Source organism: Homo sapiens, chromosome 8 (genome assembly GCF_000001405.40).
Source record: "Homo sapiens chromosome 8, GRCh38.p14 Primary Assembly".
Lineage (NCBI taxonomy): Eukaryota > Metazoa > Chordata > Mammalia > Primates > Hominidae > Homo > Homo sapiens.
The window spans coordinates 101,349,455-101,369,909 of record NC_000008.11 but is presented as its reverse complement, the minus strand read 5'-3'; the positions used below and the strand labels follow the sequence as shown (position 1 = coordinate 101,369,909).

General features: G+C 42.3%; 2 pseudogenes across 1 annotated transcript; one reads left to right on the top strand and one right to left on the bottom strand.

The window, feature by feature from the left end:
• Positions 1–314: 314 nt before the first annotated feature.
• Positions 315–1,017, bottom strand: NACA4P (NACA family member 4, pseudogene; annotated as a pseudogene). The gene has a single exon (NR_002182.1). The product of NR_002182.1 is annotated as an NACA family member 4, pseudogene (transcript).
• Positions 2,846–3,772, top strand: DUXAP2 (double homeobox A pseudogene 2; annotated as a pseudogene).
• The last annotated feature ends 16,683 nt before the right edge of the window (positions 3,773–20,455 follow it).

Below are 20,455 nucleotides of genomic sequence, written 5' to 3'. Positions count from 1 at the left end.
TTGTATTTTTAGTAGAGACAGGGTTTCATCATGTTGGCCAGGCTGGTCTCGAACTCATGACCTCAGATGATCTGCCTGCCTTGGCCTCCCAAAGTGCTGAGATTCAGGCATGAGCCACCGCTCGTAGCAAGCATTCAGCAAATTTTTAAATGCCATTTAATTGTTACCTACCATTATTATTACCCTGAAATCAGAGCCATCTTCCACTGAACTCTCTTTTCTGTTTAATTTGGCAAAATACTGTCTTTTTTTTTTCATCCAACAAGAAGCCATAACTTTATTTATGATAGAAACAGTACAAATTTCAAACCAAGCTGCAGTTACTCATCTGAGACACCAAAAAAGTTGCTTTCAGATGGTTACATTGTTAATTCCATAATAGCATTTACAATATCATTACTGTTCTTCAGGGCTCGGACTGCCTTTGCTCCCCACACATTTGCTTGTGACAGGACCAATTCTATATCCTTAATTTCTACACCTGTTTCATCGACCTCTTCGTCTTCACTGCCCTCTTGTACAGTTGGAGTCTGTGTGTTTTCTTGAATGTTTGAGACAGCTTCACCTTGAACTTTGAATTTCTCAGCAGCTGCTAGTTGTGCTTCCTGAGATAAATCTTCAATCTTGGCTTCCCCAAAAACCATGTAGGTATCCGAAGCGGGCTCTTGTAGACATCTGGTTTTGTGATGACAAAGAGGATATTCTTAGATTTCCGGATGGTGACTCTAGTAACTCCTGTAACCTGTTGAAGACCCAGTTTGAACCTAGCCTTCCGTGCCTTCTTTTCACTCCGCCTCTGTTTTGCTTTACTGACTGGTTCTTCATCAATTTCAGCTGCTACCACCAACTGGACTTGTGCGGTTACCTGGGTGGAATCCTGTTCTTCAAGCTCTGGTACTGACTCATCACTGTCAGATTCTGTTCCAGACCCTGTCTCAGCCTGGGGCTGCAGCAACTGCTGCTCTATAGCAGGGACGGTTTCTGTGGCTTCGCCAGGCATTTTGTGGAGGGAACGTGGAATCAAGATGGCGGCAGAAAGAGAGCCAGAGAGAGCGTGACCCACGTCTGTTGCAGAAGGAAGCCGGACGCCCAAAACACTGTATTTTGATAGAATGCTGTAAAGAAGGGGGGAAAGTCTGATTTTAAATTTATTTTCTCTTCTTGTTCTCAGGATTTCGGTTAAGTGTATTGGATGGTTATCCTCTTTAAAAAACTGAGAGCAACAGTGATTCCAATCAAAGGTTTGCTGTTGGCCTCCAGTTAAATCAGAACCGCTTGAGAACTTTATAAAATACAGATTCCCAAGTCCCAATTCCGAGGACCTCAATTCAATTGTCCTTGAGTGGGGATGGGGAAACCTGTAGCTTAAAAAGCCGCCCAGCTGAGTCTGATGAGAAACCAGGCTAGGAAACCTGGACAGGCTCCTTTTTCCATTTAAAACTGTCAGCACCTGTAATCTGAGCACCTTGGGAGGCCGAGGTGGGCAGATCACCTGATGTCAGGAGTTCGAGACCAGCCTGGCCAACATGGTGAAACCTTGTCTCTACTTAAAAATACAAAAAAATTAGCCAGGCGTGGTGGCGCATGCCTGTAATCCCAGCTACTCGGGAGGCTGAAGCAGGAGAATCACTTGAACCTGTGAGGTGGAGGTTGCAGTGAGCTGAGATCATGCCACTGCACTCCACCCTGGGTGACAGAGTGAGACTCTGTCTCGAAAACAAACAAAGAAAAAACTGTCAGAAAAGCTCCAAGTTCAGGCAAGTGAGTTTTTGAATATGCCCCTTCTACCTGGCTAATTGTCAGCTGAATAAACCCTCACATGCTATGAGGGTTCATGGCATTCAAACTTGTTGTTTGAAACTAGCAATGTTATAGAAATGCCAGCCTCAGCCTGAGCATGCCTTTTCTGTAACAAATTCACAGGTAGGCACATGCACCTAAAATCAAAGCTCTGGAGCTAGAGTGGGAAATACAGGATTAGTAGGGCTCTTAGAAAAAACATTTTGATCTCTTTTGTCTTATTTCCTCAGCTTCAAGAGAAAACGGCATAAGGCATACCTCTGTCTATTTTACAGGGATTTATTATGATTATCATTATTATTATTTATTTCACTGTTTTTTTAGAGACAGGGTCTCACCTTGTCACCCAGGCTGGAGTCCGGTGGTGTGATCATAGTTCACTGCAGCCTCAAACTCCTGGGCTCAAGCAATTCTCCTGCCTCAGCCTCCTGAGTAGCTGGGACTACAGGCATGCACCAGCACACCTGACATGCAGGGATGTTTTGACCTGAAAATGAATGTGAAAAAGTAATGGTGATTCGAACTTTTTGGAAAAACTCCTCTGCCTCATCATCTTTGGGCTCAGGGTATCTCCACAGTTACCATTCAGCACAAATCTTATAAAAATTAAAATTCTACATTTCTATTCCAATTCCACTGGGACTCATGTATGGCTGGTGGTAAATTGGTACAACTACTTCAGAAAACTGTTGAGTAGTATCTAGCAAAGCTAAACATTTGCATACCCTATTTTGCTCCTATGCACATACCCAACAGAAATGTTTACAATGTTTACCAAAAGTGATGTACTAGATGTGCATAGTACTAATTATAATAGCTCAAAACTGAAATTACCCAAACGACCATGTACAGTAGCATGGATAAATAAATTGTAATATATTTGCACAGAATACCATACAAAAAAGAAAATGAATTATCTATAATTACATGCAAAATTAGATGAATTTCACAAGCATGAGTTTGAACGAAAAGCTAGACAGGAAACAGTCAATACTGCACCTACATAAAGTACAAAACTGGCAAAACTAAGAATTTGAGATCATGGGTCTCCAACACATTACTTCAGCTTCCAGGACTCTCTTCCAGCATGACCAAAGACACCTCTTCACACAAGATGGTAGCAACAAATTATAGGTGCAGTCGCACCAAACTCACAGAACAATTGAAAATCCTCACCACTACATTCGATCCAAAACCTTGCTCAGGTTATTCTACCAAACAAAACCTTGCTTTATAAATCAATACAGAAGAGTCAAGAATCCAAATTTGGTTTCAGAATTGAAGAGCTAGGCATGGATTCCAGAAAAGACCAGAACCAGAGACTTTAGAATCAAGCCAGAGCCATGGACAAGATCAACCTGGTGCAGAGTTTCAAAGTAGCGAAGCCAGACAGTGTTGTACCACCTACGGCGCCTCTCAATTATGCACTCTCATCAAGGCATTTTTGAAAAACCCATACCTTAGGATTGATTCCAGGAAACAACTTGCTAAAGAAATTAGTGTTCCAGAGTCAAGAGTCCAAATTTGGTTCCAAAATCAAAGATCTGGATTTCATCTCCAGAGAAAAAGGGAAGCTGTTGTGTCCTTAGAACAAGAAGACCAGGGGCAAGATTTCTGAGAGACTTTCAAGGTACAGAAGATACACAGAATGGCACCGCCCTCACTAGCAACTCTCATTTCTCTAGAGCCAGAACACGGTGAACACAGTCAAGTTCAGTGTATTTGATATTATCAACTTGGGTCCCAAATCTCTCTCATAGTCTTCCTGGGAGATGGGAAAGGACTTAGCTGGATGTGGTGACTCACACTTGCAATCCCAGCACTCTGGGAGGCTGAGGCAGGAAGATTGCTTGAGCCCAGGAATTTGAAACCAGCCTGGGCAACAGAGCAAGACCCTGTCTCTACTATCAAAAATGAAATAAAATAGAAAGGACTATAGGAGGCACAGATAGGTACAGGAGGCATCACACTACCCTATTGACACAGCCTGGATCCAGAGTTCAGCAGACCTGAGACAATGAAAATAAACTTAGTAATAATAATAATAATAAAAAGATTATGGTTACCCTTGGGGAGGAGGTGGGGGGTTAGTGATTGTAAGAAGATATGAGGGGCACTTCTGGGGCACTAATATATTGTATACTGATTCTTTTTTCCCCCTTTTTTATTTTTTAAATCTTTGTAGATACACAGGTGTATAAGATTCTGTTTCTTGATCTGAGTGATGGTTATACAAGAATGTTTAGTTTAAAAATTAATTGAGTTGTATATTTATGATATCTGCACTTTTCCATGCATATTACACTTCAGTTAAAAGTTGAAATCTAAGCATGCTCCTCAAAAAAAGAAAAAAAAGTTGAAATCAACTCCAAGAATGCATATCCAAAGCGTAGCTGGTGATGCTCAACAAGGGAAAACTGACATTTATTTATAGCAGGACTCACTTTCTTTTAAATTATTTTATTAGTTATTATTAATTTTTTAAAGATGTGCTCTTGCTCTGTCACCCTGGCTGGAGTGCAGTGTAGCGATCATACCTCACTGCAGCCTCGAACTCCTGAGCTCAAATGGTCCTCCTGCCTCAGCCTACCGAGTAGCTGAGACTATAGGCATGCACCACCACACCTGGCTAGTCTCTTTCTTTTTAAAGATGCTGGGAAGAGCCCACATGCTGTAACCTCTGAACAGTTTTCCCAACTGACCATTTTGGTTGTCTTTAAAGAAGTTTGATCAAAAAAAAAAAAATCTAAATCTAAAAAAAAAAAAAAAAAAAAAGCCCATTAGGTACATTTTACAAAGGCTTCCTGAGCTGATAATATAATTCAACTATGCCTTCTGAAATGAAGGGGAATATTTCCTCCACATCCATAGAAACTTTCTTTTTGCCTTCAAAACGTGCCTTGAACGGAGCTTGAGAAGAAATGTGTTAACATGGCCTGTAAGGTTAACTGGTCTGCTGAGTGAGGTATTCAGAAACTAACACACACACAAAATCATTTGAAAAAGTACGGCATTGTTGCTGTGTGTGTGCTTTTAAAAATTCCTTCTTAAAATGGCTTTCTTTTAAGCCAGGCATGGTCATGTGCGCCTGTAGTCCCAGCTGCTCTGGAGGTTGAGCGGGGAGGATCATTTGAGCCCAGCAGTTCGAGTCCAGCCTGGGCAACATAAAGAGACTCCCATCTCTAAGATAAACCAAAAAAAAAAATGTTTTAAATGGCCTTATTTTTTAACGAAACTTTACATGTTCATTTTTAAGTCAATCAATACAGAAAACTAAAGAGCAGGAACCAGTATCTTAAATAAAAATCACCCTGGATGCCACCTCCCTAAGTAACTATTATTAGCATTCAGTGACTCTCATTCCAATAATTCTCTAGGCATAGATAGGAATTATTTTGTAAACATGGGGGAAATTTTAAACAAAAAGCAAATTATAAAGGAAAATCACTTGCGTAATCTCCATTTATCTCTTAGAGGATGAAGGAGAGAGAAGAACTTTTACTTCCACAGACTATAAAATAGCCTCTTTTTGGTCTCTCCTTTGATGAGATGAGTGCTCTGATAAGGAAATAGTTGAAATTCTAAGGCGAATAAATAGTGCCTTTCTGATCAGGCATTGGCCTAACTTGGGTGGGAGGTGGGTTGGAAAAGAGAGGAACCACGTGTAGTTGGTTTGATTATGGTGGGACTTTCTGAAAGGAGCCATTCACATGGAATCAAGACGTAGACCACCACAGAGCAAAGGAGAGAGAAGGTGTGGCCCAGGGCTGTTAACAAAGCAACCACTGCCAGGGTGCCTGAGCAGATGAACACACAGGAAAAGGAAGGTGGGGAGGTGACTAAGATAATGATTGGAAGATTTGAAAAATGATCCCAGACCTGATCAAAGGAAAGAAATAGAACAAAATAGTGTCATGGGTCTGACTACTCTTAATTAAAATAATTTCAGTTTCTTCTATAACTTTCAAAAGGAGAGCTTTTATTTTATTTTATTTTATTTTATTTTTGAGATGGAGTCTTGCTCTGTCACCCAGGCTGGAGTGCAGTGGTGCGATCTCAGCTCACTGCAACCTCCACCTCTTAGGTCCAAGCGATTCTCCTGCCTCGGCCTCCCCAGTAGCTGGGATTACAAGCACACACCACCACACCCAGATAATTTTTGTATTTTTAGTAGAGATGGGGTTTCACCATGTTGGCCAGGCTGGTCTCAAACTCCTGACCTCATGATCCACCTGCCTTAGCCTCCCAAAGTGCTGGGATTACAGGCATAAGCCACTGCACCTGGCCAAAGAGATCTGTTTGAATCACAGATTAAATGCGTTGATTCATAGATTCTACCTACTTACAAGTAAGCCGAGCCCAAAAATAAGATTTTTATTTGTTGCGTGGCTCCTTCTCCAATTGGGTTTTGCAAAATTCTCACAAGATGAGGATTCCTTTAACTGAGGGTTTGGGAGATAGCAAAGTGCCAATCCTGATCTTTCCAGCAGTCTGTGATTCTCCCTATCTGACCCAGGTGGCAGATGGTGATTCACTGCCTAAGGGAGTCAAAACGGCTCTGAGACTCAGAAGGAAAAATCCCTGTTCTGCCTTGAAAGTTTTTCAAATGAAAGTTTACATAGATTGAGCCACTAGGACAGAAAGTCCTCAAAGCTTGGTTCATCTCTCCTGAGACCTCATTTCCATAATGAAGTCTCAAAATTAATGTGTGTCTTTAGTACCCATTGTTACTGGTTCATAATGGTAGGCCAACCCAAGCCATTAAAACCCCACGGATTGTGAACACATTTGTTCACAATCAGTTTGTGCATGCCCTGGTCCACCAGCTTGGCATATACTGGCTTGTTTAATATTCATAACTATAAGGCAAGCACTGTTATTATCCCTATTTTACAGATAAGGAAATAGAGGCAAAGAGAAGGTAGGCTGCTTGCTCAAGGTCTCAGAGCTAATGCATGAGGCCTCAAAGGGTATGCTTTGAGCTAAGGTGCTGGTGCCAAAAATCTGATTCATGAAGGCTGGGGGCAATTAATGTTAGAATACAGACCAATTTTCTTTACAACAATTCCCTGTCCTTGCTGTAAATTCTCAGATTATTTCAAGTGGCCTTGGAAAGTCACAAAACCTCACAGCACACCACCCGCCTCTCTGGCAGTTTATTATATTGGGTGCTGGCCTCCTGATCTTGCACCCCAGTGTGTACTCAGTTTCTATGCAGGAAAGCAAGAGATGTACACATGCAGGAGTGTGTGTGTGAATGTGAGTGCATGTGTGTGAGTTTGTGGGTTAATGAATGTGCATGTATGTGTGAGTGAAAGTATGAATGAGTGTATGGGTATGAATTTGTGCACATGGGGGGTTGTAACTGCATGAGTGCATTTGTGAGCATATGTGAGTGATGTATCATGCGTGCATGCATGATTGTATAAATGAAAGTGGGAATGAGTGTGTGAGTGTACCAAGGGTGGACAGGTGTGTGGGTGTATGTGTGAGTGTATCGAGGGTGGAGAGGTGTGTGAGTCTATGCGTAAGTGTACCGAGGTTGGATAGGTGTGTGTGTCTATGTGAGTGTACCGAGGTTGGATAGGTATGTGGGTGTATGTGTGAGTGTACCGAGGGTGGACAGGTGTGTGGTTGTATGCGTGAGTGTACCGAGGTTGGACAGGTGTGTGGGTGTATGTGTGAGTGTATCGAGGGTGGAGAGGTGTGTGGGTGTATGTGTGAGTGTATCAAGGGTGGATAGGTGTGTGTGTGAGTGTATCGAGGGTGGACAGGTGTGTGGGTGTATGTGTGAGTGTATCAAGGGTGGACAGGTGTGTGGGTTATGAGTGTATCGAGGGTGGACAGGTGCGTGGGTATATGTATGAGTGTATTGAGAGTGTATGTGTGTGTCCGAGTGAATGTGTGAGTGTGCATGTCTGTGTGCCTGATAGTGTGCGTGTGGTTATGCAAATGTGCATTGTGTGAATGGGCATGTGGCTGTGTGTCTGAGAGAATGTGTGTGCATATATGCTGCTCCCAACTTCCTTACCGGCAACAAGATCAGGTGACACAAGAGCTCTGTCCTCTGATGAGAAAGCTTGAGGTAGTTGTCCAAGGACAGCGCTGTGCCACCGGGAGAAGTTGCCAAGTGGCCTCTGAGAGGCACGAGCCCAGCAAACCCACTTGTGCCACTATAGGCATAGCTCACCAGACCACTCATGTGACTGTGACCGCCTTTTAAAGCCTGTGGGAATTCCTTTTCTCCTTGATGAGTGGAAGTGGTCAGGTCACTTGGATCACATTCCTGCTCTGCCTCCAGACATGAAGGGACTGTGGGCAAGCCACTTCACCTTTCCGGTCCTCACTGTCCCTGTCTGATAAAAGACAGCAGTAATACCCAGCACAAAAGTTTATGGTGATGCTCAAAGAAGCCAATGCATCTAAGGAAAAACCTCACTAGACAATGTACTTTGCACAGTGTATGTTTAATAAATGATGTTGTTCTTGCAATGAACAATGAAAATATTTTTTGTTTTGGGCCAAATCAATAGTGGAGCCAGGCACCACAGGAAGTTTGCAAACGCTTTGCATCTGTCTTACTGTATATCTTAATTATACATTAGGGCACCTTGAAAGCCACTGACAAATGAGGCCCGAGGTTCAGAAAGAGTTAATACGCCACAATAGTAACGGCACTCCTCACGGTCACCCAGGAAATCAGCCCTTCGCTTTAGCCAAGGGGAAAGTGGAAAAGTCCGTATTACACCACAAACCCAATTTGACCGCTGCAAATGCTGACTGGAGTGAATTAAACCTCTTTCAAAATGAAACACTACACCTGTAACTGTGACTTGATTGCCCAACTTTTTAAGGACCAGAAAAAATGAAATAAAGAAAGGAACTCTCAGCAGGAAGGCCACGGTGTCACTGAGGAGAACCCAGTCAGAACAATGACGGGGCTGCCTGCCGGGGCCACCTGCCTGAGAGGCGGGAATTGAGTCAATAAAGTCACTAAACAAACAGTGGAGCTTTAGTGTTCTAAATCAGTTTGTACAGTGGTTAAAGCTTGTGGGCCGAGGAACACTGAAAGACTGCACACGTCCTCTATTAAATCTGAGCCAAACTCCTGTGGCAAATGCTTTGTTTACTCATCGCCTTTCTTTGCAAGACGGCTGCCCGTGAGGGTCATGAGCTGAGCTGGCGGAGCAGCGGCCAGAGGACACTGGAGCTTGGGGTGGTGTCTGCACCTTCAGGCCAGCCGACTCCCCTGCCTGCAACAAAGTGTTGGCTGAATGTTCCTCACAAAAGAGGGGCTTAGGGCCCCATAACCCTAATAAAGCAGAAGCCGCAGGTGAAGAGGACAGAATGGAAGAAGAAAAAGGCGTGAAACAGGCTCTGTCAGTTAGAGACGGTCCTGGAAAGTAGCTTTTAAGATTCTTTTTTTTTTTTTTTTCCCCCGACAGGGACTCCGTCTGTCACCCAGGCTGGAGTGCAGTGGCACAATCTCCGCTCACTGCAGCCTCGACATCCCGGGCTCAAGCGATCGTCCTACCTTAGCCTCCCAAGTAGCTAGGACTACAGTCATGTACCACCATGCCCCCCTAATTTTTTGTGTTTTTAGTAGAGACGGAATTTCACCATGTTGCCCAGGCTGATCTCAAACTCCTGATCTCAGGCAATCCACCCGCCTCGGCCTCCCAAAGTGCTGGGATTACAGGCGTGAGCCACTGCATGTGGCTGCCTTTAAGATTCCTGCTCCAAGGTAAAAAAAAAAAAAAAAAAAAAGAGTCCGAGAGGAAGAGAGTGGCTGGAAGTCTGGGTCAGAGGTTCAGGGTCTCCCCTGAAAGCAGAGCTCAGCTCTCAGCCAGCACTGTTCCTCTGCTTTCCATCTGTATGTAGTGCTTAAAAATATCTCCACGTGGCTGGGCGCAGTGGCTTACGCCTGTAATCCCAGCACTTTGGGAGGCTGAGGCGGGCGGATCACGAGGTCAGGAGATTGAGACCATCTTGGCTAACAAGGTGAAACCCCATCTCTACTAAAAATACAAAAAATTAGCCGGGCGTGGTGGCGGCGCCTAGTCTCAGCTAATCTGAAGGCTGAGGCAGGAGAATGGCGTGAACCCGGGAGGCGGAGCATGCAGTGAGCCGAGATCGCACCACTGCAGTCCAGCCTGGGCTACAGAGCAAGACTCCATCTCAAAAAAAAAAAAAAACACCTCCACGTTAGCAACACAGAGTCCTTTAGAATTGGGACAAATTTAAATTTTCTGTAATTTTTAAAATCTTTTGTAGATATGCAGGCTCACCAAGTTGCCCAGTTTTGAACTCCTGGGCTCAAACGATCCTCCTGCTTCAGCCTCCTAAAGAGCTGGGACTACAGGCATGAGCCACTGTGCCCAGCTGCAAATTTAAATTTTAAAACTCTGGAAATATGTAATATGATTTTAAATGTGATAAATGACAAGATGTGTGTCAATGAATTACCCACATTTATGGCATTCACAAGAGGTAGCTTTGTCATCATGAAAAGCTGGTAATATTTTTGTGGGGACGGGGTGGGGCAGAATGGTTTCCATAATAAGTCCTAACCTCACAACATTTCACATTTTGGAGGCAGTAAGGAAGCTGGGAGGAGAGCAATCAGTGCCAAATTACACAGCTTCCATGTAGGCGCAAGACACTCTTTTGTAACACTTGGACTTTGTCTTTAGTGCCTTATTTCCCATGGTGCACCTGTCTCTCATTCCCATAACAGGAAGGAGGGTTTTCTGGGGCTGAGACACAAGTGGATCATGAGAAGTAAGAGGATATCAATCTTTTCCAGGCCCAACTGCCTCTAAATTTTCTGTGTTGCAACATTTCTTCTTCCTCTTTTCTTCCATCAATAAGGAAACATTTGACTATGTCTGGAGACATTTTTAGTGATTACAACTGAGGGTGGAGTGCTCCTGACATCTCTAGTGGTTGGAGGCCAGAGATGTTGCTAAATGTCTTACAATGCACAGGACAGCTTCCCACATCAAAGAATTATCAAGCCCAAAACATCAACAGTACTGGGCTGGAAAACCCTGCTTTCATGTTCTGATATCCCAGCTGTATTATTGAAAAGCATCTCTTTGAACTAACTCACAATATGGTTTGAATAGCTGATAGTGCATGTATAACCCTGCAAGGGCCAGTTGGCTTTTAAAAGTGGTTCTCACTTGTTGTCAGGACTTTAAGTGAGGCAAAAAAAGGAGGTGAAGACTCTTGGGTAGCCACTAGGAGAAAATGTGTGTGTGTATGTGTGTGTATTTGTGTGTTGGGGAGGCTCTCCTGGCTATTCCTTTCATCTCATCATGGAGGCATCTACCTACTTGTGCTATGGGTAGAAAGACCAGCCCTGTCCACTCACTGTGGCAAGGGCTGACATGAGGACCCAGGTGTGTCATCTCCCCTACCTGCAAATGATGGGAGGCATAAACATTGACCGACACACATGGTCCAGTTTACCCTGTGAGGAGAATGATTCTCAGTTAAAAGATTGAAGGGATAGAGCTGGGTCAGAAAAGCCACAACGCAAAAGCTGATGTGAAGACTGGACACATTGGCCCTGATGCCTACTTCTGCACAGCCCTCTCCAAGTAGTCTGTGAAAATGTACTAAATGCATCTTTTGAGTTAGGGGTTCTCAACTTTGGTTTCATGTAAGAATCCCTAAGGAGGCTTTGCAAACTCTAATGCCCAGGACTCATGGCTCCAGACCATTTACTGAGAATATTTAGAGGTGAAACTCAGGAATCAGTATTTTTTAAGTTATATTTTATTGAAGTATAACAAACATATAAAACGTGCATATATCTCTAGCTATTCCACTTCTGGATATATACACAAAAGAATTAAAAGAGGGTCTCAAAGAGATATTTGTATACTCATGTTCATAGTAGCATCACTCACAACAGCCAAAAGGTGGAAGCAACCCAAATGTCCATTGATAGATGAATGGATAAACAAAATGTGGTACACCCATTCAATAGGATATTATTTGGCCTTAAAAAGGAAGGAAATTCTGATCTATGCTATAACATGGATAAAACGTAAGGCCTTTATACCAAGTGAAATAAGTTCCCCAAAAGGTAAATACTGTATAATTTCACTTATATGAGGCACCTGGAGTCGTCCCATTCATAGAAACAGAAAGTAGAATGGCAGTTGCCAGAGCTGAGGTGGAGGGAGGAAAGAGAGTTGTTAAATGAGCTTGGAGTTTCAGTTTTGCGAGATGAAAAGATTGGTATCACAACAATGGGAATGTACTTAACATTACTAAACTGTAACTTAAACTGATTAACATGATAAAGTTTATGTTAGGTGTATTTTGCCATCATTTTTAACAAATATATATATCAAAAGAATACAGCTTGATGAATTTTCACAAAGTAAATACACACAAACATCCAGCACCCAGATGAAGAAATGGAATATGACCAGCACCTCACAAGCCTTCTTGATGCCCCCTCCTGGTCACTATCTTTACCCCAAGGGTGTTGGTATCCTGACTTCTAACACCATAGTGTAAGTCTAATTTTTAAAGCATCTGCAGTAGTTTAAAGATACATATTTTATACCATCATTCCCTATGCCTCTAATTGACTTCAAAGATGCTTTTTATATATATAAAAATAAGTGCGCTACTTTGGGCATATATCTTTGTCCACATCTGTCTATTTTCTTAGGATAGAGTGATTCCTAAAGTGGAATTTCTGAGTCAAATGATGTGAAATGTTTAAAGACTCTTGATTTTTTTTTTTTTTTTTGGACAGAGTCTCACTCTGTTGCCCAGGCTGGAGTGCAGTGGCGCGATCTCGGCTCACTGCAACCTCCACCTCCCGGGTTCAAGGGATTCTCTTGCCTCAGCCTCCTGAGTAGCTGGGATTACAGGCGTGTTGTCACCACACCTGGCTGATTTTTGTATTTTTAGTAGAGACAGGGTTTCTCCATGTTGGCCAGGCTGGTCTCGAACTCCTAACCTCAGGTGATCTACCTGCCTCAGCCTCCCAAAGTGCTGGGATTACAGGCGCGAGCCACCGCGCCAGCCCCTAAAGGCTCTTGATTCTTAAAGGCATCAGTAGAGGTTTTCAGGGGGTCACAAGGTGCAGCCATGGCAAGAATCACTGGGTTGGAGTCTGTGGAGGACCTCTGATCAATTCCTTAACGAATATGCCTTTAACCTCCACTTATCTGGACTTGATCCAAATTGAAATTATTTAAAGATTCAAAGAAAAACGATGTAGCAGTTGAGTTGGTTTTGGCTGCAAGGAAACAATTAGACATCACTTTAACAACATTTATTGTTTTCCCTTAACAAAAAAATTCTAGATAGGTAGATAAGCAAAGAATTTGGAGTTACTGGGCAATTTAGAGAAAGAATTTGAAGAATTTGAAGAGAAGAAAACAAACAATATGTAAAAGGCATCCCTTTTTAAATTCTTTTGAAACAACATATATATCTAGCTAGGGAAAACAGGATATGGAGCAGAGAGGGGAGTATAAATAAGTAAATCATAGTGTTTTAGGCCAAATACCAGATTAAGTATTTAGAATTTATTAGTCCATTTAATGTGACACTTAAAAAATGTGAAATAGCTATTACTGTTACAGGAAAGGGGTCCGGATCCAGAACCCAAGAGAGGGTTCTTGGATCTTGTGCAAGAAGGAATTCAGGGTGAGTCCATAGAGTGACGTGAAAGCAAGCTTATTAAGAAAGTAAAGGAATAAAAGAATGGCTACTCCATAGACAGAGCAGCCCTGAGGGCTGCTGATTGCCCATTTTTATGGGTTTTTAAAAATTATATACTAAACAAGAGGTGAATCCCCTTTTTAGACCGTGTAGAGTAACTTCCTGATGTTGCCATGGCATTTGTAAACTGTCATGGTGCTGGTGGGAGTGTAGCAGTGAGGACCACCAGAGGTCACTCTCATCGCCATCTTGGTTTTGGTGGGTTTTAGCCAGCTTCTTTACTGCAACCTGTTTTATCAGCAAAGTCTTTATAACCTGTGTCTTTTGCTGACCTCCTATTTCATCCTGTGACTTAGAATGCTTTAGCCATTTGGGAATGCAGCCCAGTAGGTTTTAGCCTCATTTTACCCAGCCCCTATTCAAGATGGAGTTGCTCTGGTTCAAACACCTCTGACATTTCTATCTCCATTTCTCATGAGATACAAGCCAAAGATTTATTTTTTAATTTTATTTTTATGTATTTATTCATTTTTTGAGACAGAGTCTCACTCTGTCACCCAGGCTGGAGTGCAGTGATGTGATCTCAGCTCACTGCAACCTCCTCCTCCCAAATTCAAGCAATTCTCCTGCCTCAGCCTCCCAAGTAGCTGGGACTACAGGCATTCACCACCATGCCTGGCTAATTTTTGTATTTTTGGTAGAGATGGGGTTTCACTATGTTGGCCTGGCTAGTCTCGAACCTGTGACCTCAGGTTATTTGCTCAAGATAACTCTGACTCCCAAAGTGCCGGATTACAGGCGTGAGCCACCACGCCCGACCAAGATACAAGCCAAAGATTTAAATGATGTGTCCAGGAATACCCAATTTGCTAGCAAGTGTCAGGGAATCAAATACAGTCTCCATTCTGCCCCCAGCTTGCCAGGTGGTTTTGTGCATGTTCTGGGCACTCCCCTCCCCAGGCCAGTTTTCAGCCACTTGGAACAAATGATCTCAAAGGTTTATTTTAGATTTAGCCATTAACCTGAGTGCCATTTTCAGCAGTTACACATATACTAATGGTTACTGGAAGCAGGACAAAAGAGTAGCTCTGAAACCAATGGCATTGACTACAGCTTCAGGAGCAATTTGGGAATTAAGGATAGCTTAGCAAAACTTTAATATTTAGCCCATTAAAGCAGACTATGGACCTTAGGATGCTAAGCCCTATCACTGTGTAGCCCTCCCTGGATTCCAAGAGTCCTGAAGACACTTCCACAGTGGGCGCAGCTGCCCTAAAATTCAGTCACTGTTAACTTACTTTATGCTAAGACAGTGGAGGCTAGCCATGGCCAGCCTTGTGAGCTCAGAGCTTTTCCACGACCATTTCTCTCCTCTTGATGCTTCTCAGCCACAGATGCCATCCATCAGGATCACAAAGGGCTTTCTTTTTCTTGCTCTATAGATCCAATGAAGTCTTTTCTGTGTCCAGCCAGGAAATGGAGGAGTCTTGTAGCTTAATTAAGATGAGCTTATTCAACATCACTCAGAGGGAGCTGCATTTCCCAGTCTGCTAACAGCATTTTTACTAACATTAAAATGGCTTATGAGAGGAGCAAATTAACATTGCTATGGAAACTTCAGAATTTTCTGACATTTTAGAGTTGACATTTTCAGCCTCAATCTTTCCTCAACAAGGTATTTAGTATTTAATAAGTTCTGGGATTAGGAGCTTTCTTCTCTAGAGACAAATATTAGCTATAGTCTTCAAAGATGGCAGCTGCCTAAATGTTGAATAAACCCAGAATGTTTTCCCCAAACATCCAGAACACATTTAATTAAATGCTACCTATCTCTCATACTTCCTCCAGCTGCTAACCCAGACTCTTCTCTATCTATATCCATAAAAAAATAAAAAGGAATCTCCAGACATTTCTGTAGTGGGAATTTTATGTGACTTTAGAAAATATATATTCAAAATTTTAAATGTGAATATATATATATATACACACACACAGACACACACACACACACATATATATATATATATTTGTTTTGAGATGGAGTTGTGCTCTTGTTGCCTAGGCTGGAGTGCAATGGCACAATCTTGGCTCACTGCAACCTCCACCTCCCAGGTTCACGTGATTCTCTTGCCTCAGCCTCCTGAGTAGTTGGGATTACAGGCATGCGCCACCACATCCAGCTAATTTTGTATTTTTAGGAGAGACAGAGTTTCACCATGTTGGCCAGGCTGGTCTCGAACTCCCGACCTCAGGTGATCCACCTGCCTTGGACTCCCAAAGTGCTGGGATTGCAGGCGTGAGCCACTGTGCCTGGCCAAAATGTGAATACAATTCATGTGACCAAAAATGTCAATTTTGAACATTAAAGAAAATGACAATTTAATGAGACTAGAAATTGAATATTAGTCTTGCTAGAAAGGAGAAAGCAAATTATTTCATTTTTGAGGAGAAAACAATATTTAAAACTCCAAGTTTCTAGGTATTACTTCATCTGTGTCATTTTTTTAAGTGGATTCCATCCATCATCCTCTCTGTTCAGTTCAGATAATGTCAGCTGGAATGGAAGCTACATGTTTAGACTTCAAATCAGCTGAGGTGATAACAGCTAGGATAGATTCCATCCAATATACATATATACATTTAGTGCTGGGTTTCTTCAACAATATTTATCTTTAACCAGCAGATTCCATCTATCCAAAATCACTGAAGATGACAGTGCTCGTATCATTTGTAATGGTTTCCACTTATACATTCCATTAGGATGTGTAAACACATGGAAAATCAAGTGGAAAATTAAGGATACACCTTAACAACAAAATAAAGACAGGTAAAAAGGCTATGTAACCCTTATCTTCTATATCAATTTTTGTTAAGGTTTTTCTTATACTTTTTTCCTCCTTTTTTCAAATAAAATTTAGTTCTCTACTTAGTTTTCTGGGTTTTTTTCTTTAATATTAAGATGCAGGAGAACTAGAAATGATAACTAATATTAAAACAGGTCATATGATTTTTATAAAAAACAGGAATCTATTTTCACTGGAGGACACCCACTGACATCTCCTGAGTTCTCATGACAGGCCAGGCCCACACATGGAAGAACAAATGCTTCTCTTCTCCCAAAACAGTTGAGTGGAAAATATTTAATAAATTCAGTTTATCCTTAGCTTGCAAGGGTCAGCCAAGCTGCAGTCCTGCCACCTGGTCCCTGTGTTGGATTTTTTCCTGCAGTGTGACCAGTGAAATCATGATGAAAGGGACATCAGCCCAGCCTTCTCAGGACCTGCTGCTGCTCCTCTCCCAACAGGCTCTGGTCTCAGTGCTCAGGGCTTCAGCCAGTTGTGTGCTGGTAAATGTTCAACACAGGCTCTCCAAAAAGAACAGGGTTGGATTTGCTAGTTCCCTTAGTATAAATAACTCCACCATGGCCAAATTTTTTTTTTTTTTGAGATGGAGTTTTTTACTTGTCGCCCAGGCTGGAGTGCAATGGTGCAATCTCAGCTCACTGCAACCTCCACCTCCTGGGTTCAAGCGATTCTCCTGCCCCAGCCTCCCGAGTAGCTGGGATTACAGGCACCTGCCACCATGCCCAGCTAATTTTTTGTATTTTGAGAGGGGGTTTCACCATGTTGGTCAGGCTGGTCTTGAACTCCTGACCTCAGGTGATCCACCCGTCTCGGCCTCCCAAAGCGCTGGGATTACAGACGTGAGCCACTGCGCACTATGGCCAATTTTTAACTACCAACATGAGGTCACTGAATATGGAATTGGGAAGAGATGTGCACAATGGGTTCTAGCAAGCCGGCAAGAGCTGGCACCAGCACATTCTCTGTCTTTAGCCCTGGAGACCAGCTTCCTGATGACCGTTCCAGAGTTTTAACACCTTCTCTTCCTGGTGAGCAGGGAGGTGGCGGGTTCAGGCCCACTGCTAACTTGGCCAAGCAGGAAGGCACTCAAGACAGATGGCAAAGCTCATAGGCTACGGTGCTTTATTTAATCACCTGAATATTTCTGTCCTACTCCTCCTCCAGAGAAAATAAGACACCAGCAGCATGAATAAATGTAGCACATGAATGTCGTTAGCATATACAGTCATCCCTTGGCAGCCACAGGAGATTGGTTCCAGGATCTCCTTCAGATATCAAAATGCACAGATGCTCAAGTCCCTCATATAAAATGGTGTAACATTTGCATGTAACCGATGCACATCCTCCTGTATACTTTAAATCACCTCTAGATTACTTATAATACCCAATACAATGTAATGCTGTGTAGTTAATACTGTATTGTTTAGAAAATAATGACAAATTTAAAAGTCTGCCCACATTTAATACATACATCCATATTTTTCTCCTGAATACTTTTGATCTGTGGTTGGTTGAATCCACAGATGCAGAACCTATAGATATGAAGGGTTGACTGTAATTATGTCCCCTGTGTCATTATTGCCAGAAGTCATTACCCAGAGCATGATGTATAGGTTAAAGGTGGTAGAGGCTATATTTGTATTCAGACAGGAGGGGAAGTGGTTTGACCATTTTGATCTAAATTAATAAGCAAGAATGATTAAATTGTCAGGAATAAGAAAAATAAACCTACAGTCCTACAGAATATCAAGCAGAGCAGAAGAAAAGGTGCTGATTAGTTAAGAGTCAAGAACTTTATGTTCTAACCTTATCACAAATCTACAGGTGGAGTGTGCTGTTAATTTAGGACAAGTTGCACATCATATGTTCATGTTTTCCACATACATTATAACCAAGTAATAAATACACTTTTCTTTTCTTTTCTTTTCTTTTTTTTTTGAGGCAGAGTTTCACTCTGTCACCCAGAATGGAGTGCAGTGGTGCAATCTCAGCTCACTGCCACCTCCACTTCCCAGGTTCAAGCAATTCTCCTGCCTCAGCCTCTTGAGTAGCTGGGATTACAGGTACACACCACCATGCCAGGCTAAGTTTTTTTGTATTTTTAGTAGAGACAGCATTTTGCTCTGTTCCCCAGGCTGGTCTCAAACTCCTGACCTCAGGTGATCTGCCTGCCTGGGCCTCCCAAAGTACTGGGATTACAGGCGTGAGCCACCGCGCCCGACCCACCTTTCTTTTAATAAGTGAAAGATCATTTGATGTGGTTTGGCTCTGTGTCTCCACCCAAATCTCATCTCAAGTTGTAATCCCCATGTGTGGAGGAAGGGACCTGTAATTCTCCTGTGTGGAGGGAGGGAGGTGATTGGATTATGGCAGTGGTTTTTCCTCTCTGAGAACTTGCTCCAGTGAGTGAGTTCTCACCAGATCTGATGGAATTATGAGGGGCTCTTCCCTTTCCCTTTTTCTTCTCTTGCCTGCTGCCACGTAAGACGTGCCTGCTTCCCCTTCTGTCATTATTGTAAGTTTCCTGAGACTTCCTCAGCCATGTGGAACTATGAGTCAATTAAACCTCTTTGGCTTTTTTTTTTTTTTTTTTGAGACAGAGTCTCGCTCTGTCACCCAGGCTGGAGTGCAGTGGTACGATCTTGGCTTGCTGCAACCTCCACCTCCTGGGTTCAAGCGATTCTCCTGTCTCAGTCTCCCGAGTATCTGGGATTACAGACACCCGCCACCGCATCTGGCTAATTTTTTTATTTTTAGTAGAGACAGGGTTTCACCATGCAGGTCAGTCTGGTCTCGAACTCCTGACCTCGTAATCCACCCACCTCGTCCTCTCAAAGTGCTGGGATTACAGGTGTGAACCACCATGCCCGGCCTGGGTCCCATCTGTTAATGTTCGAACACAGAGGAGGTGGAGTTCCTAGAATATTGGGACATAGAGGCTTCACAGAAGAGTATCTTTTTTCTTTATAAATTACCCAGTCTCTGGTAGTATCTTTCTAGCAGTATGAAAATGGAGTAATACATCATTTATTCTGCCTTGCATAGTGAATTTTCCCTATTTGTTTAGAAAAACAAATTGTGAAATAAATATTTATTGCATTTTCATAGTGCTCAAGAACTGTGTGGAGAAATGTATTTAAAGTGGTTTGTCTTAATTCTTAAGCAATCATATGAGGAGTGATGCTTTCAAAGATCACTGTTGTATTCAAAACAGTTAACTTAGAAGCTTTTAAGCAATCTAGTGATGCTCTGTGTTACAAAGTACGTTTATAACATTTGTTTAGAGTTTTTTTTAGAACCAGTTTATGAACCTCATGATAAAATCAGTCTGAGTAATAATTTTATGTGTGAATTAAAGTTACATTTTCCATCAAAGTCGTTGTCCAGAATCATCATCAAAATACTTTTGGCTGCTTCCAAAACTAAAATTCATTTCCCAAAAGAAAGACTAACCCTCCATGAGGTTATAGAAAAGAGTCTTAGGCTCTGAGAGCATTTTTTGACTTTTTTTCTTTTCTCTTTCTTTTTTCTTTTTCTTATAAAAAGTACCATACATTCAGAAGAATATAAAACAAATATGAATTGGCTAAGGAATAATAATGATAAAATAAACACCTGTGTACCTACCACTCAGGTTAAGTAACAGAACCTTACCTCAAACTGGCTACGTAATTAAAAGGCCTAGTGCAAAATAAAAACAAGGCTCCGTTGTTCAAAAAGCAGGAATAATGTGCTATTAAATGTACTAAAACATAAAGCTTTTTCTTTCTTTCATGTTTCTCCTCTGATCATGCACATGTTCCATTGTGCCATCAGACTTTACTTACAAAACACAGGCTCGAAGATAACATTATCAAGAATTTCAAACCATGACAGCCAAGCCTTAAACCTAGTGCAGGGCCCTTCTGCGAAAGGGGCCCCATGTGATGCTACAGGCTGCATACATGAAGTCAACCCTGAACTTGGAAGTCTCCTCTGCATCTTGTCCCAAATGTTTCTCCTTCCCTCTCTCCCAGGGTGAATACAATTTCTAAAGGGTAAGGTGGGTGATTAAGGCATCACTGGAATAAGTGCATAACTCCTGAAACACATCA